The sequence below is a fragment of the Homo sapiens genome, chromosome 16 (assembly GCF_000001405.40).
Source record: "Homo sapiens chromosome 16, GRCh38.p14 Primary Assembly".
NCBI classification, from domain to species: domain Eukaryota; kingdom Metazoa; phylum Chordata; class Mammalia; order Primates; family Hominidae; genus Homo; species Homo sapiens.
In genome coordinates this window covers 81,628,016-81,649,658 of record NC_000016.10, presented here as the reverse complement: position 1 = coordinate 81,649,658, position 21,643 = coordinate 81,628,016, and the positions used below count along the sequence as shown (strand labels likewise).

Sequence of the window (21,643 nt, the reverse complement as noted above, 5' to 3'; positions counted from 1 at the left end):
ATGCATGCTCATTGCAAAAAATCTAAACTGTACTGAAAAGCACAAAGAAGAGGATAAGTTTTAAAAGGCCTCAAAAATCCCACAACCCAGAAATAGCCACCATTAATATTTGGTGAACATCATTCCAGCGAAGTCTCATTTAAACTTGCAAAATACAACCAGCCCTGAGGTGGGTGGCCATGAGTACAATCTCCTGTTCTCCACACACAGATGCCACTCAAGATGCAGAGGCAACCAGTCTGAGGCATAGCAGGGCCCAGTGGGCAACGCTGGCACCAACGCAGTTTCAGACACGAGCCCTCGGGGTCGGTACACCCAGCCTCAGCTCATCCACAGCTCCCCTCCTTGGAGCGGGGAGGACAACAGCTTTCCCGGGAGGGCCCAAGCCCTTGCCTCACAGGCATCCATGGGAGAGTCTGCAGAGGCTGTATTCAGAGCCAGAAGATCCCAGGGCTTGTACCAAGGGCTAAAATTTCATGAGGACATACCATGTGCCAGCACAGTGCTAGCTCTTATGAGCTTTATCCCACTCAATCCTCACAGTATCCCATGAGTTGGGGGCTTGTCATAGGGAGGACCCTGAGACAAGGGACTGAGTGCAAATGGCTTACTGATCTGAGAGGGAACAGCAGGAAATACTGGTGGGGAGAGTGGGGAAGTGAGACGGGCAAGAGAAGACAGTCAATAAACAGGGCACTGTCAAGCACATGATATAGGCAATGAGGGCTCACTCCTGCTGGGGGCTCTAGGGGACAGTGCAGATCACACTCAGAGTTGACGTTCCTAAAGAGTGAGGGAGCTGGCCATTTGTCCATTAGCTCCCTAAACTCTTCAGGGCTTTTTTTTTTTTTTTTTTTTTTTTTTTTTTTTTTTTCTGAGACAGAGTCTTGCTCTGTCACTCAAGCTGGAGTGTAGTGGTGAGATCTCAGCTCACTATAATCTCCACCTCCCAGGTTCAAGTGATTCTCCTGCCTCAGCCTCCCAAGAAGCTGGGATTACAGGTGTGCACCACCATGCCCAGCTAATTTTTGTATTTTTAGTAGAGATGGGCTTCACCATGTTGGCCAGGCTGGTCTTGAACTCCTGATCTCACGTGATCCACCCGCCTCGGCCTCCCAAAGTGCTGGGATTACAGGCGGCAGCCACTGCGCCTGGCCAACTCTTCAGGGCTTCTGACTGCCGTGTGCCCAGGCCAAAGTGATCCCACAGCCAGAAAAAAGCATGCGCTCTGCAGGGTCACAGGTGTTCATGGTGCACAGCTGGCAGCCCTCACGCGATGCTGAGGGGGTGGCCAGCTGCAGCTTCTGCCAGAGGATTGTTGGTGTTCTCTGTGCACAGAAGCCTATCATGGCCCCGAGAGGTCAAGAGACTTGCCCAGAGTCAAGCAGCTAGAAAGGGACAATTCAGGAATGAAAACTGGCTCTGGCCACTGCAAAGCTCTTTCCATCACATCAGTGAGGGCCACGATGGTCGGGTGAAGAGGATATCAGATTTGCCAAGAGATCCTGAAGAAGTGTCAAGAATGCTTGGTGACACAAGGACAAGATCCAGAAACAAGATCCACAAGGCTCTGAGAGTGGAGGCCAGGTAACCAGAAGGCGGTGGAAGCAGCAGGGGGAGGGTGGGCTACGGCTCTGCGGGTGCGGGGGGAGGGTGGGCTACGGCTCTGCGGGTGTGGGGGGAGGGTGGGCTACGGCTCTGCGGGTGCGGGGGGAGGGTGGGCTACGGCTCTGCGGGTGCGGGGGGAGGGTGGGCTACGGCGTTGTGGGTGCGGGCTGCAGGCAGGCCCCTGTTCCCAGAAGAGGCTCTGAGCCCCAGGTCAGGGTGGCCACAGGGATGAGGGAGGCCTGTCCAGGATCAACAGGGCCCTGTCCCTCCTCCCTAGGTGACAAATTAGCATGCCTCATCCCAGGAACTCTGATGAGCTCATCAGGTGATGAATCATGGTGGAGCTGGGATAGGGACGCCTCCGGAATCCCTGCTCCAGGCTCCCTGGAGGCTGGCCCTCAGCTTTGCAATATGGTCTTCCTGCTGAGTGCGCTTTGCCAGGTGGGGTGGGTGGCCTGGTGGTTTGTCTAGCATGGACCCCACAGGCCACTGGATTCTTCTGAAGTGGGGAGTACACAGGGGCCTTGGAACTGTTCTGTGGCTGGGCACACGACCTGGTGTTTTCACAGAAAGGGGCTGACTTAGAGCAGGGTTGGTGAACTATAGCATGCGGTGAAACCCAGCCCCCTGCCTGTTTTTGTTCGATGAGACCAAGAATGGTCTCACAAACTGTAGGAGTTGTGACGGAAAATAAACACAGAATATGCAACAGAAATCCAATGTGGCCCACAAAGCCCCAAATATTTGCTATCTGGCCCTTTGTAGAAAACAGTTTGCCAAGGTCTGGCTTTAAAAGTCAAATTCCAGCCTAGGAGTAAGCATGCAAAGAAGATGCTCAACGTCATTAGCCCTCGGGAAAACGCAAGCTAAAACCATAAAGAGATACGACTTCGTCCTACGAGGATGGCTGTAATAGAAAATGACAGACAACGCCAAGTGTTGGCAAAGGTGTGGAGAAACTGGGAATCTTGTGTGTTGCTGGTGGGAAGGTAAACTGGTACAGCCACCTTGGAAAATTGTTTGAAAGTTTCTTAAAACATTATACATAAATTTATCATATGACCCAGCAATTCTGTTCCTAGAAATCTACCCAAGAGAAAGAGAAACAAACTCCAAAGACATGCCCAAGAATGTCCATAGCAGCATTCTTCACAGAAACAACTTAAATTCATCAACTGATGAATGGATAAACAAGATGTGGTATAGCCATTCAACCAAACAGTATTTGGCAATAAAAAGGATTGAATTACCCACATGCTACAAGACGGATGCAACTCATAACCACTACACTAAGGGAAAGAAGCCAGATAAGAAAGACATAGTGTATGATTTCTCTTATGTGAAATGTCTAGAAAGGCAATTTCACAGAGACAGAAAGTGGAACATTCATTGCCTGGGGCACAGAACAGGAATGAGACTGCAAACAAGCATGAGGGCATCTTTCAAGATGGTGGAAATGCTCTAAAACTGAATTGTGGTGATGACTGTACAACTTTATAAATTTACTAAGATCACTGAATTGTGTACTCACAGTGGGTGAATTTTATGGTATGTGGATTCCATTTCAATAATGCTATTTTTTAAAAATGCTATCCTAGGGAGGTAGTCATCAGACAAAACCAAAGGTAGTATGGCTCAGTGGCGAAGCGTATAGGCTTCACGAGCAGACTCCAGATCAAATCTAAGCTCTACTTCATCCATCCACCCATCCATCATCTACTCACCCACCTACCATTCACCCACACATCCATCCATCTGCCCAACCACCCACCCATCCATCCATCCATCCATCCATCCATCCACCCACCCGCCCACCCATCCATCCATTAATCCATCCACTCATTCATTCATCCATCTACTTATCCATCCAACCATTCACCTACCCTCTCAACTATCCACCCACCCAACTATCCACCCACCCACCCATCCATCCTTCACCCACCTCATCATCCATTCATCACCCATCTACCATCCATACTTCCATCACTCACTCATCGATCTATTCACCCTTCCATCCAATCATCCCATGAAGATCTACTATGACGTGCCAAGCACTATGTTAAGTACTAAGGATAACCATGGTGAACAAAGCAGACAAGCCCCGGTGCTCATGAAACTTACAGTCTATTACTTGCACCAGTTTCCTTGTCTGCAAATCAGGATAAGAATAACTACTGTCAAAGGCTTGCTGTGACTATTTCATGAGATAATATATAAAACACTTAGCTCAGTTCCTGGCTAAACAGCAGCTCTGATTGTTTTCACCTACCAAGTTCTGTAAAGGAGTAGTCCAGGGAGGTAGAACTCAGGAGGGCTCCCCACATCCGAGCCCAAGCCCCACCAGCCAGCGGCAAGCAGAGACAGCAGGCAGAGCCTCCTGCTTCCCGTCTGGCAGAGTCAGCCACTCCAGCGCTGTCCTCACCCTCTCTGCTTGTCAAGGAAGGGACGTTACCTGGGCAACACTTGCCATCGCTCTGGCAACTGTCAGCAGAGGCAAGCACATATGCCAGGGTTCTCAGGCCAGGGAAAGCAGAGCCTGTTGCTCCTCCACGGGAGACAAGTCGTCAGCAGGAATGTGCCCCTTGCCAGGAGAGGAGTGACTCAGAATGCACTGGAAGCACGTCGCGCCAGGCAGGGGCTGCTGCTCTGCTGCTCTGCTGCTGCCGCAGCCTCTGGGGCTCGCGCGCGTACACACCCAAGCACGCATGCTCCCCACCACCTGTCGTGAAGAGAGGACGCTGCACGGGCGCGCCCATGGCACTGCAGAGTGGAGGAGGACCCCACAGGGAAATATGAGCCAGGGAGGACCCAGCCCGGCTTTGAAAACTTTTTCCAGTGCAGGTCCTACAGCGGAGCTGCCTAGTCCAGAAGCTACCAGCCCCAGGTGGCTACGCACACTGAACTTCATTAAAATGAAATACAACTACAAATCCAGCATCTTGATCACATCGTAACATTACAGTTACTCGGTAGCCAGCTGTGTCTAGTGGTGACTATAGTGGTGCAGACAGAGAACATTTTCATCATCGCAGAATGCTCCGTCGGGCAGTGCTATCCGAAAGTCTTGGTGTCCCTGTCATCACGTCCCCACGGGCCCAGGAGCATGCATGTTTGCCTCTACCCATCGATGCTGAGGTCTAGTATGTGTGTGGCACTGCGTTCGGCCCGAGGAAAGGGCCCTTGCCTACCTCCTCCCATGGGAGACCCCCCTCTCCAAGCCCCCATCTCACTGGGACCCTGCCTTGGAATTTTCTTAAAAGGTCTACCAAGGTGCAATGTCCCCACTTGTGCCTTGCACACCCGGGGACAATGGCTGGCTGGTTATCTTCCCTGGCTTCCCTGATTCAAGACTCACTATGGCTGCAGATGCTAAGTGTGTAGGAAATAATTTGCTATCTCCAGCAAGCCATGGCTTCCGGGAGGACTGGACACTTGGGAGGCAGCATTTTTGGCCTTCTTGAGTCCTCCAGAATAGCTTCCCTTCAATCCGGTGAGCATCAGAGACTGTCACATTACCTTCATATATAATGCAGGCCTCATAACTGTCCCATGGGTGTTACCCCCAAACTGCCCTTTTGGCCGCCAAGTCTTCAACATCAACCTAAAACCCGCTCATAACCTCTCAGCTCCCTGCTGGTGCACTCCCCACAGAGACACCCTGGGTCAAACACAGCCCCCTGGCCTTATTCCCCATGCCTGCTAGCCCACACAATCCATGTCACAAAATCAGCCTCGGTGCTTTGGCTACAATTTTCCAGGGAAGGAGGCAACACTGTCCCGATTATCTGTGCACATTTCCAGTGAAATACATGGGCACCAGCACCACCATGACTGGAGGGCATCTGTGATCTAATTGTGGAGTATAAAATAACGAGAAGACACTCAACTTAACTAGAAAGTGAGACCCCCAAAATCTCATTTTTAAAGAAATATTGTAAATGCATGTTTCGTTCGTTTTCATTACAGGTCAGGGCTATAGGGTCAACGGTGCTTCTGGGATTAGACTGAACACTATTTTTTTTCTCTCTGACTGGGATTCCTTTCTTGCCCCAGGCTTGGTAGGGACAACCCTAGTGCCTCCGGGAATCACACAGGGGCTTTACCAGTCACAGCCCATCACTCTGGCCTGAGAAACTAGGCTGTCTGAGGCACCAGGGGGCTGCCATCACTATATACACATACATATAGATTTACTTCATTGAGGTAAAATCCACACACCATAAAATTAACCATTAACCTTATTTATTTATTTATTTACTTACTTATTGAGACAGAGTCTCGCTCTGTCACCCAGGCAGTGGCATGACCTCGGCTCACTGCAACCTTTGCCTTCTGGGTTCAAGTGATTCTCCTGCCTCAGCCTTCCCAGCAGCTGGGATTATAGGCGCCCACCACCACACCCGGCTAATTTTTGTATTTTTAGTAGAGATGGGGTTTCACACCATGTTGGCCAGGCTGGTCTCGAACTCCTGACCTCAGATGATCTGCCCGCCTTGGCCTCCTAAAGTGCTAGGATTACAGGTGTGAGCCACTGCGCCCGGCCACCATGTACCCATTTACAGTGAACACTTCAGCGGCGTTTAGCACAGTGTTGTGTAACCACCACCACTATTTCCAACACTTCTCCATCACTTCCAAGGAAACCCTTTTAAGCTGTTACTTCCTATTGTACTCTCCCCCAGCCCCTGGGCAACTACCAATCCACTTTCTGTTCCTGGATTCCCCTATTCTGAACATTGCATATAAATGGAATCATACACTATGTGTCCTTTTGTGACCACAGTGAGGCCTGGGAATCTGCATTCAGCAGCTTCCAGGTGAGACAGATGTCCTTGAGCCCTCTAAGCAGCAAGGTTCTCACCCACATGCCTCACTTCCTCTCCTCCACGAGGTGGACGTGTTACAGAGGAGAGGAGAGGTTCATACCTTGCGCAGGTCACATAGCTTGTGTTGTGGGTGGAACTGTGTCTGCCAAAACTGTTGTGGGTTAACATGTGTCTTCCACTGCATATAAATCATACACAATGTGGCCTTCTGTCCACTTAGCATACCGTCCTCAAGGTTCATCCGGCTGTGGCAGCTTTGCTTCACCCCCTTCCATGACTAACAGTCCACTGCATGGATACGCTGCAATTTCTTTCTTTCTTTTTTTTGCGAGATGGAGTCTCACTCTGTTACCCAGGCTGGAGTGCAGTGGTGCGATCTCAACTCATTGCAAACTCCGCCTCCCGGGTTCAAGCGATTCTCCTGCCTCCGCCTCCCGAGTAGCTGGGACTACAGGCGCCCGCCACCACGCCTGGCTAAGTTTTATATTTTTAGTAGAGACAGGGTTTCGCCATGTTGACCAGGCTGGTCTCGAACTCCTGACCTCAGGAGAGCCACCGCGCCCGGCAGATACACTGCAATTTCTTTGTTAATCCGCTGATGAACTCTTGGGTTGTCTCCACCGTAGGCTATCATGAATAGTGCTGCTATGCACATATATTGTTGCTTTTTGCCCTGTCCCCGTGCCTCAACTGCACTGAATCAGTTTAAATTTTGCCACAGGACAGCACAGGGTGTAAGGGGTCTTTTAGGGGACCCCAATTTACCCCACACAATTACTGAACTCTGTTACCTGCTGGTCCAACTAATTCATTGATGAATTAATCAATGCTTACCCTTCAGGACTCATGTTTTCAAGGTGGGTGGAGGGACGCCTACTCTGAGTGGGGCACTGTCTCTATGGAGGGGCAGGGAGTGGGGGAAATGATACAGAGATGAGACAAACCAGCCCCTGCACACTCCCAGTCTGGCTGAAGGGTGAGACAGGGCACAGAACATTCTAACCAAACTACTCATTACAGTCATAATGGCTACTACATATCAAGGGCTGACATTTTCCAAGAACAGCAAGCACGCACACTGGGTTCTGATGAATGACGAGTGACAAGACAGCGGAAAAGCCATCGCTTCTGAAGGGCACTCCATAGGCCAGGTCCTGTGCGAAGCACTTTGTATAAATACATTTTAAATCATCCCATCCACTAAATGAGGTGAGTGGTATAATGTAAGTCCCATTTTACAGATGAGAACATCGAGGCTGAGTGAGGTAAGTCATGCAGCTACTAAGAGCTAGGCAGAATTGGGATCCAGGTCTAGCTCTGGATCCTGAGCACCTGACCATCATGCCACTCCGAGAGGCAAACCTGAGCACCTCTATGCCTTGATCAATGATTCTGCTGCCTTCAAATCGGAGAGTTGAGCCTCGCCTCCTCGGTTTCCCAAAGGCAGTTGCAGGCTGGTGCAGCTGGGTGCCCAGTGGACACCTGCCTGAAAAGCCAGCTCCTGGGGAGATGGGCAATTTGTTTGCAAGAGGGGAAAACGCCTAAATGCCCACCGGTGGTGGCCTCCTGTGCTCAATGCCGCTTCCAGGGAAACAGCGGGAACTCAGGCGGGTGTCCTGCTCCACTGTCTCTGCGGCATCGGCTGGTTGCCTAGGTAACCACGTGCCTGGCTGGCAAGGAGATAAGCTGGCCTTGGTGTCAGGCTCCCAGCTGAGTACCACATCCTACCTGGCTCTTCAGGCCAGCTGCACCGTGGGCAAAATCCAATCATCACGCAGATGCTGTTTGAGCACATTAAAAAAAAAATTGTATGTAGCTGTTTTCCTCGCTGAGCTAGGAGCTGCTTGGGAGCAGGGATGACATCTCATCTGTTCCTCCGATGTGTTGGATGGTGACTGCAGCCACCCAGGGAAGGTGCTCTCGGTGTTTGTTGCAGGTAGAACAGGCAGTGGGGAGAATGAAAATGGCACTGAAGGCTAACATGCGTTAGGTGCTGCTTTAGGCCAGGCCCTGCACCAAATCCTTTCACCTACCCTGCAACTCTCATTCGTGTGCACAGGAATTGCCTGGGGGTCTGGTTACCATGCAGATTCCAGCTCAGCAGAGCTGGGCGAGGCCTGGGAATCTGCATTAAGCAGCTTCCAGGTGACACAGATGTTCCTGAGCCCTCTAAGAAGCAAGGTTCTCACCCACAAGCCTCATTTCATGGTGGACGTGCTGCAGAGGAGAGGAGGGGCTCACACCTTGCCCAGGTCACACAGCTGGTGTTGTGGGTTGGACTGTGTCTGCCCAAAACATATGTCCAAGTCCTAAGCCCGGTATCTGTGACTATGACCTTCTTTGGAAATGGGGTCTTCGCAGATATAATTAAGATGAGGTCATACTGGATTAGAGTTGGCCCTAAATCCAGTGACTGGCGTCGTTATAAAAAGGCCATGTGGAGAGAGAGAGAGACACACACACACACACACACACACACACACACATGCTCCAGAGAGACCTCCACGTATGGAGGCAGAGCCTGGATGCCAAGGCGCATCAAGGATAGCCGGACACCATCAGAAGCTGGGTGAGGCAAGGAAAAGGCCCTCCCCTAGAGTCTCAGAAGCAATGTGGCCCTGCTGACACCTTGATTTTGGACATCTGGCCCCAGAATTGTGTGAGAACAAATTTCTGTTGTTTTAAGCAACACAGTTTACGGAAATTTGTCATAGCAGCTGTTGGAAGCCCAGACAGCTGTAAGGAGCAAGCAAGGACTGACCCCAGGACGCCTGGTCCCAGTCAGTCTGCCATCTTACTGCGGTGACTCGAGCTGAGCCGTCCAGCCCCATCATTTCACAGAAGGCAGCAGGGCCCTCTGCAACTGTGGTTGAGAAAGTGGGAGCTGGGTTTGGAATTGGTTGGGTTTTCTTTCCCTGGGGAATTGGGGGGGGGGGGGCCTGATGTCCTATCCTGCTCTTGCTGCAGCAGGGGACAGAAACACTGACTTCCACCCTAAGGCCCGCCTCCAGCCCATTACCCGATTGCATAAGCCCTGGCCCTGCCCTGCGTCAGAAACGGCACACCTGGGCACCTGCATCATCAGTGAGGTCAGAGGGAGCCACCTGGGGACCCAGGAGGCTACAGGAGGAACTTCCAGGAGAATTCGGGTAGGGACGTCAGCATGGGGCTCGCACAGGGTCCCTGGCAAAGAGGAGCCATGGGGGAGGATTCCGGCCCCAAGCTGTCCTCTCACACAAAGCTGTACATCAGCCGACACCAGCAGCCACCATCACACCAGCTAACATCCCCGGGCTTCCTATGTACTGGGCCCTGTGCTGAGGTGTGCCCCAAATGACTCTATCAGGCAGGGTTCTTGACCCTGGCTACACATTAAAACCACCCAAGGGGCTTAGAATTCCAATAACGGAGTCCAACCTCAGGACAATCCCATCAGACTGGTGTTGGGGGCAGGCAGAACCTATGCATCAGGACTTTTTTGAGCGCCGGTATATTTAAAAGTGCATTTGCACACCCATGTTCACAGCAGCGTCATTCGTAACAGCCAAAAGGCAGAAGCAACCCAGGTCCACCAATGGATAAAGAGAGACATAAGGTGTGGTCTACCCATTCACTGCAGCATTATTCTGTCTTAAAAAGGAAGGAAATCCTGACGCAGGCCACACTATGAATGAACCTTGGGGACATTAGGCTGAGATAAGGCAGCCACAAAAGGCCAAATCTTGTGTGATTCCACGCATATGAGGTCCCTAGAGTAGACAAATTCTTAGAGACCGAAAGCAGAATGGTGGATGCCAGGGGCTGGGGGAGGGGGTAATGGGGACAGAGTTTCCATTTGGGAAGAGGAGAAAGTTCTGGAGACGGATGGTGGTGACAGCAGCACGGCAACGTGAATGAACCACTGAACTGCCACCTAAACCTGGTTCAAATGATGCCTCATGCATATTTCACCGAACTAAACAAGAGAATATTTAAGATCTCCAGGTGATCTGAATGTGGTGCAGCCGGGGTTAACAGGTGCGACCCCCATTCTACAGACTTGAAGACCACAACACACAGAGGAAAAGGTAACCCACTCCAGGTCACAGCCGGCCCTGTAGGAACCAGGATTCTGGCTCAGGGTCACCCCCTGGTCCTGAGCTCCGGTCCTTGAAGGGACTGAGCCACACACACAGGAACAATCCTGGACTCTCCCTCGGCATTCTGGAAAGGCTCTCTGATCTTCACACGGTCCTAATCCCGGCGGGGGCTGTTTCTCCAGGAAAACTGAGTGCAGTGGAAAAACAGCCTGCACGGGTGGGCCGGGTGTGGGGTGGGCCTGGAGAAGTGCATTTCCTCATGGACTAGAACAGGCGCCCCTCTTTCAGAATTCTAAAACTCAACACAGCCTGCCCGCCCCTCCTGTCCTCCTGGATTCCCTGCTCTCAGGCTGACCAGAGGCTGTGCGGACAGGAGGCACCTCCCTCATTCCCACAGGAGGCTGAACTGGGGCAGGAACACCCAGTTCAGCAGGTTTTAAGTTAAGATTTTGAACAGGCTATAGAAAGAGGGAAAGAGGGGAAAACATTCTCAGGTGCAGGCAGAAGCTGCCGGGTTCTTCTCCAAGGAGAAGGGAGAGGGGGGAGAGGAAAGGGACAAGGGGAGGGATGAGAGGTGACAGAAGGGACAATAAGGAGCGTCGCCTCGGGCGTGTTATGCTCTGGCCTTGATAAGGATACGACCAGTTTCTCAGGGTTCCTTAATCAAATCCCAGGCACCATCCCCTCAGAGAGTCCCGTGCAGGTGGGGGTGGGCCAAGAGCTGTGGGATTTTCTTCTGCTCATTCCTGTGTCAAGATGCTCTGGGGGGAGGGCTGTGCCCGGAGACACATTCACTAAGAGAGGCAAACTCCTGCCTGGGTCATGAGGTGACTGGTGGCCCCAAAGAAGGTATGTCCACATCAACCCCTGCCATCTGTGAATGCAACATCCCACGTTTGGGATCTTGAGATGGGGAGATCACGCTGGATTATCTGGTGGGTCCTGAATCCAGTGACGAGTATCCCCAGGAAGTATACAAAGGAGAGACAGAGGAGGCGCAGGCCATGTGACCATGGAGGCAGACACCGGAGTGAGGGGGCCACAAGCCAAGTGCTAAGCTCTGAATGTTTGTATCTTCAAAAAATTCATTATTGAAACCTAATCCCCAGTGGGGGGGGTGTTAGGAGGTGGGGCCTCGTGGGGGTGATTAGTTCATGAGGGTGGAGCCCTCACCAATGGGATCAGTGCCCTTAGAAAAGAGGCTTGGGGGAGCTCCCTCACCCCTTCCCATGTGAGACACAGCGAGAAGGCACCCTCTGTGACGCAGGGAGCGAGCCCTCACCAATCTACCTTGATGGTGGACTTCCTGGCCTCTAGAACCATGAGAAATGAATTTCTGTTGCGCCAGGGAGGCTGGCAGGTCCCAGCCCCATGCTCAGCATGCCAACTTACTACCCTCATCACTCTTTGCTCACTCTACGACCTATGGGCCAGCTGCCTCCCCCACCAGCCTGCACACTCCTGGGAGCTCAGAGGCTCAAGCAAGCCATGTTTTTGCTCGCAGATGTGTGCATCATCACAAACGGAGAGTCGGGCAGATCTACACTTGAATTTCTTTTCCGCTTCTTATGAGCTGTGCAGCCTTAGGCAAACTACATCACCTCTCTGAACCTTAGTTTCCTCATCTGTAAAATGGGGATAATAGTAGCATTTGCATCCTGGAGCTATTGGGAGAATTAAATGTCACATTTCAGGCTTGATAAATGACACCTATTGAGTTCAGTAGGACACTGACTAAAGACAGTTAATGTCTTAGAAAAAATAAAGGTGACCAGCTGGGCACCGTGGCTCACACCTGTAATCCCAGCACTTCAGGTGGCCGAGGCAGGTGTATCACCTGAGGTCAGCAGTTCAAGACCAGCCTGGCCAACATGATGAAACCCCGTCTCTACTAAAAATACAAAAAAATTAGCTGGGCATGGTGGCACGCACCTGTAATCCCAGCTACTTGGGAGGCTGGGGCAGGAGAAATGCTTGAACCCAGGAGGCAGAGGTTGCAGTGAGCCAAGATTGTGCCACTGCACTCCAGCATGGGCAACAAGAGCGAAACTCTGTCTCAAAAAAAATAAAAAAGGTGACCAGAAACCCCCTAAATGTCCATCAATAGAGAAGTGCTTACACTGTGGCCCCCACAGTGCAACAGCAAACAGCAGTTAAAAAGAAGGAAGGAGGGTTACAAGATCTGCCGTGGATTCCACCTGCACAACATGCTGTTAAGTACAGTAGCAAATACATGCATAATCTATGTTGACATACACATATATATGATCTAATTCACGGGGCTTCAGGGGGTGGGGGGTGGGGACCAAGTCCGGCTGGTGACAGCTGTCTTCTTTGGAGACGGAAGTGGCTCGGGGGAGGACCAACGGGTAGGGCTCAGCTTTATCTGCAATGTTTCAAATTATTGCAGGAAGCCGTTCATGCATTGTGCATTTAATTAAAGAGAAATAAAGGAAAAAACTCTCCAAAGATTTCAGAAATTGGAATCATGACGGTGATATTGTATCTTTCCCCAGGATTCTTAAATTAGTCAGAATGCCATACTTTTTTTTTTTTTTTTTTTTTGAGACGAAGTTTCACTCTGTAACCCAGGCTGGAATGCAGTGGCGCAATCTTGGCTCACTGCAACCTCTGCCCCCTGGGTTCAAGCGATTCTCATGCCTCAGCCTCCCTAGTAGCTGGGATTACGGGCGCCTGCCACCACGCCTAGCTAATTTGTATTATTAGTAGAGATGGGGCTTCACCACATTGACCAGGCTGGTCTTGAACTCCTGACCTCAGGTGAGCCACCTGCCTCAGCCTCCCAAAGTGCTGGGATTACAGGCACGAGCCACCACACCGGGCCAGAATCCCATATTCTTAAAGAGAACTGGAAGGCATCTGAGATCTTACTACTTTTGACTTTTCAGTGGTCTAGTAGATGGATAATCCGATTTTTCAAGTGCATGTTCTTTGAAAAATTCATACAGAGGACAAGAACTCCAGCATGGAAGGCTCATGGCCCGCACACCTGTATCATGGTGCACACACACACCCACAACCCAGTTACACACACACTCACACACACAAACACACAACCAGCCCAATTTAAAACTGCACCTAAGTTTCAGCTGCATCATACATGCTGGCTTTCTTCTTTTTAACCTTACCACGGCCCTCCCTCCCGCCACCCCCTGAATCCATGCTAACTCCATGCTCACCATGTAAACCCCGAAAATTTGAGACTATGTTATATATCGGGGTCCACAAACCATTTTCCTAAGAGCCAAATAATAATAGTCCAGGCTTTGTGGGTCATGCCACCTCTGTTGTCACCAGCTTAATGCCACAGCAGGAATGGGCAGAGCTGTCCCCCCCTCCCCCAAATGGGCAGAGCTGTCCCCGCCACCCTGAAAACTCCTTATTTATAAAAACAGGTGCTGGGCCAGATCGTTTGCAGACGCTTGACGTCTATCATTTCATCTCTTTCTCCATGGTCACGGATAATCAAATACAAATATATATTTGTCTGGCAGCAGACTTTCAACGGCAAAAACTGCAATTACTTTTGCACCAACACGATACAGACAGGTTTTGTGGGGTCCTCATTTCATTTTACACAAATGGCACTGCATAATACTTATGTCTGCATCTGGCTTTTCCCTCCTAACACCTGGTGGGTGTCACTCCAGATCAATTCGTATCGATTTTCCCAGTCTGTGTGCTTTTCTAAGCCACTTCAAGGGTCATTAAGCAGAGGTAGGATATACCTTTAAAAAATTAAAATGAAGCCGACCAAATCCTTCCCCCTGACTCTGTCCTGTGTGCCAACCCTCCTGAGGGTCTTTCTGACAGGGCCACCAGCTTGGCCTTCTGAACCTCAGTAATTGGCCCTCCCCTCTTGACCAAGGCCACCCAGAGCGAAAAAGCAATTTGCACTCAACATTAAAGACTACGGGGTGGGGGTGGGGAACACCTCTTATTAATCATTAATATAAGGTGGCATTTTCAGGGCATTTCAGGAAACAACGCTGCTTAATTGCAACCCACCAAATAAATAAAAAAATGCAAATACTGTACCAGAGCCTGCTCTTCCTCTGTGGTGTGGGAGGCGGGCAGCCCCAGGCGAGTTTCCTAGCCCTTCCGAAATACAGTGAGGGACACCACAGGCTCTGTTTCCTTTGGGCCTGATAAAGGGAACTCTCTCTATCCCAAATAAGGATTTCCCTTGCCAGGCCTCAAGACGGTAGCATCTCAACAGGGGCCTCTGTTGTTTATTTCACTAAGAACTTTATCTAGTGCTTGCAGCACTTCAAAGGACATCTGATCTGTTCATGGCTTTGTTTGGAAGCCTCCATCCTTCCCAGCTGCATCCTCTGGGTGGGAGTCACCGGCGCCTACTACAAAGGGCTTTAACTTATGAGAATCCTGGAGAAGGATCCTGTTCTTTAATAAATTAATGTTCAGTAAGTCTCTAATGTGAGTTTCAAGCCAGGTAATGCTGTCATGCTTGAATATAGGAGAAGGCGCACTCCTGCCCTCCCTGGGGAGGCGGCTCCTCAGACACTCGTGCGGCAGACTCTACTCACCCAGAGAAGCTCAGCGTCCTAGGAGTGAGTTCAATGGTGTTCACCACAGTGAATTCTAAGTGACCTGCACAAACAGAGGGGATTCTGGCAGAGTAACCCGAAAGCTATGGACACGTTTAGTCATCCATGCTTGATCTCAGGCTATGAGAAACCCAGTAAGAAGGTGAAATGGTTACAGAAGGAGGCAGCAGACTCTGGGTTTGAATTCCAGCTTGGATGCATGAGAAGGTTAATCTGAGAGTCAGACTCGTGTTCATACAATGGAGATATAAAACCCAGGGACACTGTGCAGCCTAAAGAAAATAATGAAAATAAAGTAGATGGAAAACAGTAGGCACTCAATAGATGTTTATTGTTCTTTCCCCTTTCTTCACACTACTGCAGTGGTTCTCAAACGCTGGGGTGCATCACAGTCACCCGGAGGGTATGTTAAAATAGTTTGCTGCTCTCATCCTGCCACCTCAGAGTTTGTGAAACTGAAGACTGGCATTTCTAGAGAGTTCCCAGGTGATGCAGATACTGCTAGTCTTGGGACTTCACTCTGAAAACCACTGAGCTACCGGTTCAAAATCCCTGGGTCTGCAGTGCCAGGAGGCCTGGGATGATAAGGACCCTCTTGGATGGAAGATTGGTTGCAGACTTTAACAAAAGTCTCAAAAGTCAACAGACATGATGAATGGTCTGCCTGAGTCTGTTCCTGCCTCCAGCCGGTGTCAGGCTGGCCCCGACCTCTGGGGTGTGCTTTCTAAGGTCCTTGTACTCCTGGACAGAGGTCAGGTTCAGCCCAGTTTTCCAAAGGGAATGGTCCAAGCATGTGCCAGCCCCCGCTGGAAACAAACCACCCTGGCCTTCTGCTGCCACGTGCCAGCAAGCTCCATTAGGAGTGGCCTCAGTTTCTCTGAAAGGGGGTCTCTGTCCCTCTCAAGGCTTTCTGCAAAACAGTCTGTTGGTTCTGAAAGTGCACCAGGGTGCTCCGGCGAGCAGAATGTGGGCAACAGCCCTCAGGGCCCTAGTCGTTCTGCATCATCTCCCGGTCAATTATCCTCTCTCCCAAACACCTTCCCTTCCAGAGTTAGCCGGCTGTCCCGCTGGGTATTTTCTGATGATCCCTCGGTGAAGCAAGGGCCTAATTCCTCTGTGGGGACAAGCACTGCTCTTTTTAAAGTCTCTGTTTGGCCTCATCTCCGAGCCAACAGGCCAGCAGGTGGGAGCCCTGGAGGCCAACAAAAGAATGGCAGGCCACCTCCCTCTTCCAGGCTGGACACCTGGCCAAGGTGTGCCCCAAGTGCAGATCAGCAACCCAGCTCAGGGGCCTCCACTGCCCACCACTGGCTGTGAAAGAGACACACTGCAGACGCCTGCAGAACAAAAGATCTTGCTCATCAAGACGCTGCCTCTCATTTACGTTTTAAAAACTTGTCTTTAAAGGGCGAGAAAAAGAAAAACAAAATTCTGCCTTAAAGGGCAAAAAACAAGTTCACCCACAAACCGTTTACATGAAAAACTTCCTTGTATGGCTCCATGACTCATCAGCCTCATCAAAGCCTGCGCTGGATGACACACGAACGCTCGGGTCCCCCCTTCCTTGCCCAAAGAAACGATGACAACCCACAAACGCCACTTCTTCCTTCGCAGTTTGGGAAGCCACTGTAATGCGTCATTTCTGAGGCTCAGGAAAGACCTTTACCCAGAAGGTGGGGGTGGGGGTGTCTTGAATGTCCCAAAGCCCAAGGCTGGCCCTTATGTAGAGTTGAGGAAGCCCTGGCCAGGGACAGGGGAGTGCAAGGGAAGGCTCGGTGACCCAGGCACATGGTGCAAACCTAGGACCTCCACCTCCCAGCTCTGTAGCCAGGGGCAGCTCACTCCACCCTGGTCCCTGGAGTGTGCTTACAGGCTTCCGTGTTGGGGGGCTGCGAGGCCTGGGCAGCAAACCGCCTTGTACTGCCTCTGGCCTGTGGATAGTAGATGCTCAATAAACCTCTCCTTCCTGTCAGAAACTCAGTCTCCCTATGTGGATGACAGCATTTTCCTAAAGGATCTAAAGTTCCATCCACCTTAAACTCTGCCTGAAGGGAAGACTATGAAACTAGAAAAGAAAATGGTGTGGATTTGTGTGCTACTGCAGACACTGCTGCGACATATATTAAGGAGCATGGAACGGAACCGCGTGGATGATAAAGTCTGCGTGGTGTTTACAAAGGAATATTCATAAGCACTTTCTGAGAAGCCCCGTGCAGCTGCTAACAGTGACTGCCTAGGGGAAAATGGACTTGAAGGAGTAGAGGCCAACTTTTCATTTTATACCTTTCTATACTTTTTAGGACTACCACCTATGTACGTGCATTTTATTTTTGTTAAATGTTCGCAGGGGATATCTGGCAGGACAAGGAACTGGCTGGAAAGGGGCGCGAGGAGATCTTCTGGGTGACGGAGATCCAGGTGGTGGTTACTCAGGTGAGTACAGCAGTCAGAACTCCCTCACACTCAACAGTTAGGGCATGCACATTTTGTCACATGTAGGTAATAGCTTGATTTTTTTACAATTTAAAAGAAGTTAAGAGAGATTTAGGGATAGTGGGAATTTTCTTAGTTCTCTTTGTCCTTTTCGGTATTTTAAAAAGCTTCGTAAGTGCCAGTTTTTAAATGCTCTGTGTCTTAGGGCTCTTGCACACTGCTGGTGCAAGTATACACTGGTGCAACCACTTTGCAAAACTGCAGGGCAGCATCAACGAATGATAATTCAGCTCCCAGGCATATACGCAACAGGACTGTGGACACACATTCACCAAAAGATGTACACTAGAGTGTTTACAATGGTCTATTCGTAACAGCCCCAAACTGGAAAGACCTATCCACAGAATGAACAAGTTAACAGAGTCTAACCAGACAACAGAACACCACCCAGCAAAGTGAATAGACAAACTGCTGCTACACACAACACAGACAAATCATAAGAAGCCAGTCTCAAAAGAGTTCAGGGTGTCTGAGTCCATTTAGATAAAGTTCAAGTATATGCAAAGCTCACCTGTGCTGCTAGAAGTCAGGATAGCAGTGGCTGCCCATGGTGGGGAGGAGGGGCCCAGGTGAATGGTAACTCTTTTTGATTTGTACCCTTTTCTAGATGTATTTTATCCTTCAATGAGAAGTTTATTTCGAAAACGTCCTGTGTCTCTTCCAAAGATAGCTCCAGCTGGGCAAAGTGGCAGCTCTGTGGGCTCCAACGGAAGAGGCCAAAAGGCCCATCCTCCTCCTGTCCCCTGGGTTCAATTCACAGCCCTGCCTGTCTCTAGCTGTGTGATCCTGGACGTGCCTCTCTGCTTCCTCAGCTCCTGCTTCAAGACAGGCCTAACCAAATTTTGAGAAGTCCCCAGCAGAGCTCCCGACCCTAGTAGGTGCCTAGTAATTGTTTTTCTCTCCCTCTACTGTAACGAAAGCCTGCGAGACATGAGCTCTCTTTCCCAATGCTCCCGGCCCTCTGCCACTTGTTAGTTTCAATCCCTGAAGCAGCCCTGGTTACTAGTTATGGGGTCCCTGATGACCCACTGTGGGGCTTGGGCTGTGGCTGGGAGATGCTGGAGACTGTGGCCCTCGCGGGGGACTGGCAGCCTGGCCCCAAAAGGTTTCCCATTTGGATTGAACACGTGCACAAAGAGGCTGCCAGGCTGGACTCACCAGCTGCACCTCCCACTGAGGGCCCCTCCTGCAGTCTTGGAGTGGGCTGGGCCCCCTGCCTCTGGGGAAAGCCCCTCCTTTCACAGTTCTCCACTGAATCCCTTTGATCCCCTCTTAAGAGGTCACAAAGCCCTCTTTGACTGAGTGCCAGAAATTAATCTGGATAGAATTCCTGCCTTTTCAACCTGGATGAAGCAGGCAGGTGGCTGGGCCTGGAAGGGGATCAAGGCCGACTCCCGCCCATCCTTGCCTCCCCACCATTCTGCCTTCCTTCTCGGAGGGTAGGACCCTCCAAGAATGGACCCACGGTGCCTGCCTGGAAGTTCCACAGAAGCTTCTGTGAGAAAACCCCACGGAGGCACAGCCAGAGCCAGTGGCACTGACCCGGCCTCCAGGAGCACTCGCCCCATAGGCCTGGGCGGTCACTCAAGCAGGACGGGGGACACTGTCACTGCCTCTGTCAACTGGGTGGCCAGGCAGGGGCTATGTTGAGAAGAGCTCTGCCTCAGGGCAAAGCATGCGGTGGCTGATGGGTGATGCCCGCCCTGGGCTCATGAGTCGGTGGCCTGCGTGCCACACATGTGCCTCCGTCTTCTGCAGCCCCGTCTCCTAGCATCCTCCGACACCAAGAGCCTGTTTTCCTCTGTGTCCTTGTAGATCAGAGAAGAAGAATGAATGTTCTGAGTGGGTACCACATGGCAGGTGCTATTCTAAATACTGAACAGCTGTGAACCCATTTAATCCCCGTAAGAAACTGGTGAGCTTGGTTTCATTTGACTCAAGAGGCCCAGAGACGAAAGCAACTGGTCCAGGGTCACACAGCCAGCAGGAAGTGGATCAGGGTTGGAACCTGGGCAGTCTGGCCCTGAAGCGCTGCAGAAAGTATTATTTTGGGAGCAAATAGGTAATAGGTGGTGAGAGCCACCTAAAAATACCCCTCCTCTCTGGCCCAGTAACCACTTCTAGAAATCTGCCCTAAACAAGTAACTCAAATAAAGCGAAAGCTGAGATACACGACGGTCATGGCTGCGTTATCTATAACTGAGGAAAGCTGGGAACGACCCGAAGGGCAACCACAGCAGAGGCCTTTGGTAAATGGCCCCAGCCTCTTCACGGACGATTCTGCAGCCATTAGGAAGCCTCCCTTGGGCGCTGTGGCACGGCACTGGGATGTCTGAGCTGCCATGCCTTGGCGAGGCTCACAGGACTGTCCATGTGCCTGGCCACAGCTGCTAAAATGGCTGCGTGAAGATGGACGCAGCCTCGGAGGAGAACTGCAAGGTCATAACTGGCAGGAGCTGGGGGTGCTGACCTTGAAGTGATCGTAAAAAGGTCGAAAAGGAGACAGAGAGGGAGGAAGGTGGCCAAGACGGGGTTAGACGGGCAAACGGAGGTGGGGTGGGGTTCAAGGGCAACGTCTTCCCTCAAGACCAAGGGATGAGCTGGGCTAGAGGGGACAGGCCCAGCCAGGAGCCACCTCGGAGGGTCACTGTATAGAGTGAGGGAGTCAGGTGCAAGGCCAGATCTGGGCTTCCAAACCTCAAGTTTAAAGTCAGGGGACACAGCGACCAGTGTGTTTGGGGAAGATGTGGAAGCGGGTCAGTCCTGAGTGTGACACCGGGCCTGGGAGAGGTGGTCTGACAGCGGCTGTGCTGATGACGTGCAAGACAGGATGAGGCAATCAGCCCTTCTGCGTGAGAAACAGGGGCCTGCCTAGTCAGACGTCAATTCACATTATCTTTTTTTTTTTTTTTTTTTTTTTTTTTTTTTTAAGCACAGTTTCACTCTGTCACCCAGGCTGGAGTATAGTGGCACCATCTCGGCTCACTGCAACCTCCGCCTCCCGGGTTCAAGCGATTCTCATGCTTCAGCCTCCTGAGTAGCTGGGACTATAGGCCTGAGCCACCACGCCCAGCTAATTTTTGTATTTTTAGTAGAGACAGGGTTTCCCCATGTTGGCCAGGCTGGTCTCGAACTCCTGACCTCAAGTGATCCTCCCGCCTCGGCCTCCGAAAGTGCTGGGATTACAGGTATGAGCCATCACGCGCAGCCAATTCACATAACCCTAGTGGTGATGGGAGACTTAGGGAAAAGTGGAAAGCTCTCACGCAAGCCTCAGGCACCAGCAACACCCAGGCTCTACCCAGATGTGCCACGAGAACAGGTGGGAGCCGGGGCACTGCTCCCAAGTGCACATCAGGTGTGAGAAGTGTCTGGGTAGCGTGTGTCTGTGTACATGCATGCATGTACAGTTGGGAGCCACACTCCCGGTGGCTGAAGTCCCAGGTTCTGGACTCACTCAGACTTCTGTTCAAATCCCATCTAAGCCATTGAACAGCTGTGTGACCTTGAGTGAGTGATTTAACCTCAGCCTCAGTTTCCACATCAGTAAAAAGGGAGAAGAGGAGGAACAGGCACCTCCTCAGGGCTGTAAGGATTCACCAAGGTGAGTAAGTGAGGCACTGGCACATGCATGGGACAGGAGTTAAGTGTCCATCATGGCTCGAGGACCAGCTGCAGCCTTGTGCTAAGGCCTTGGGGTGCAACTGGGGGCTCGGCTTGGGCTGGATGACGACTTGGGGGATGTGAGCTTGGGAAGGGATTTGCAGCCTGGTGGAGAAAGCGCCTGGGGCCACATCTCTAGGACACTAGGAGTGGCTCTTCCCCAGGGAGGCTCCCATGACCAGGAGGCGACCCAGGGGAGGTGGGCTCCGGGAGCAAGGTCAGAGCCAGGGGTGACAGCCCCTACTGGAGGCCCGGTCCAGAGCCTCAGGATTTCCCCTTTTGTAGGGATCCCCCCTTCTAGCATGGCCCTCAGTGAGGGGTCAGGGGAGGCATCAGCTCAAGGGCTCTGTGTCATTCTGACCTGGTCCCCTGGGCCTTTCCCCTG

At 51.3% G+C, this 21,643-nt stretch overlaps 1 protein-coding gene and 1 long non-coding RNA gene across 10 annotated transcripts in view, besides 4 other annotated features; one reads left to right on the top strand and one right to left on the bottom strand.

The window, feature by feature from the left end:
• The window catches only part of CMIP (c-Maf inducing protein), a 266,955-nt gene that overhangs the window by 62,104 nt on the left and 183,208 nt on the right, over positions 1 to 21,643 (bottom strand). Inside the window, exon 1 of one of the 8 annotated variants that reach the window (XM_017023733.2) lies at positions 14,573 to 14,647. The exons of 6 other annotated variants lie outside the window; for them this stretch is intronic. Coding sequence is in view for 1 of the 2 variants with exons in the window: in XM_047434719.1 (XP_047290675.1) it covers positions 4,061 to 4,111 (51 nt within the window). In the remaining variant the exon portion in view is untranslated. Of the gene's footprint in view, positions 1 to 4,060; positions 4,302 to 14,572; positions 14,648 to 21,643 lie in introns of those variants that run through there. One more of the 8 variants, XM_047434719.1, reaches the window with a different exon arrangement.
• On the top strand, positions 1,502 to 19,770 carry LOC105371362 (uncharacterized). Of its 2 annotated transcripts, XR_007065138.1 has the most exons (4): positions 1,502 to 1,587; positions 17,450 to 17,535; positions 18,203 to 18,469; positions 19,411 to 19,770. It is a non-coding gene; the product is annotated as an uncharacterized LOC105371362 (long non-coding RNA). The 2 variants fall into 2 exon arrangements; XR_933786.3 differs by lacking the exon at positions 1,502 to 1,587 and having other exon boundaries at positions 17,293 to 17,535.
• Positions 3,941 to 4,235: a silencer, noted in NCBI's record as "tiled region #7704; K562 Repressive non-DNase unmatched - State 14:Gen5'". NCBI's record gives its function as "represses a minimal TATA promoter and a strong SV40 promoter by Sharpr-MPRA in K562 cells {active_cell/tissue: K562}" and the evidence as "EXISTENCE:reporter gene assay evidence [ECO:0000049][PMID:27701403]".
• Positions 4,212 to 4,918: an enhancer, noted in NCBI's record as "H3K4me1 hESC enhancer chr16:81678346-81679052 (GRCh37/hg19 assembly coordinates)". NCBI's record gives its function as "activates a minimal SCP1, AML or CMV promoter by ChIP-STARR-seq in naive H9 embryonic stem cells {active_cell/tissue: H9 hESC(naive)}" and the evidence as "EXISTENCE:reporter gene assay evidence [ECO:0000049][PMID:30033119]".
• Positions 14,758 to 15,598: an enhancer, noted in NCBI's record as "NANOG-H3K27ac-H3K4me1 hESC enhancer chr16:81667666-81668506 (GRCh37/hg19 assembly coordinates)". NCBI's record gives its function as "activates a minimal SCP1, AML or CMV promoter by ChIP-STARR-seq in naive H9 embryonic stem cells {active_cell/tissue: H9 hESC(naive)}" and the evidence as "EXISTENCE:reporter gene assay evidence [ECO:0000049][PMID:30033119]".
• Positions 15,599 to 16,438: an enhancer, noted in NCBI's record as "H3K27ac-H3K4me1 hESC enhancer chr16:81666826-81667665 (GRCh37/hg19 assembly coordinates)". NCBI's record gives its function as "activates a minimal SCP1, AML or CMV promoter by ChIP-STARR-seq in primed H9 embryonic stem cells {active_cell/tissue: H9 hESC(primed)}" and the evidence as "EXISTENCE:reporter gene assay evidence [ECO:0000049][PMID:30033119]".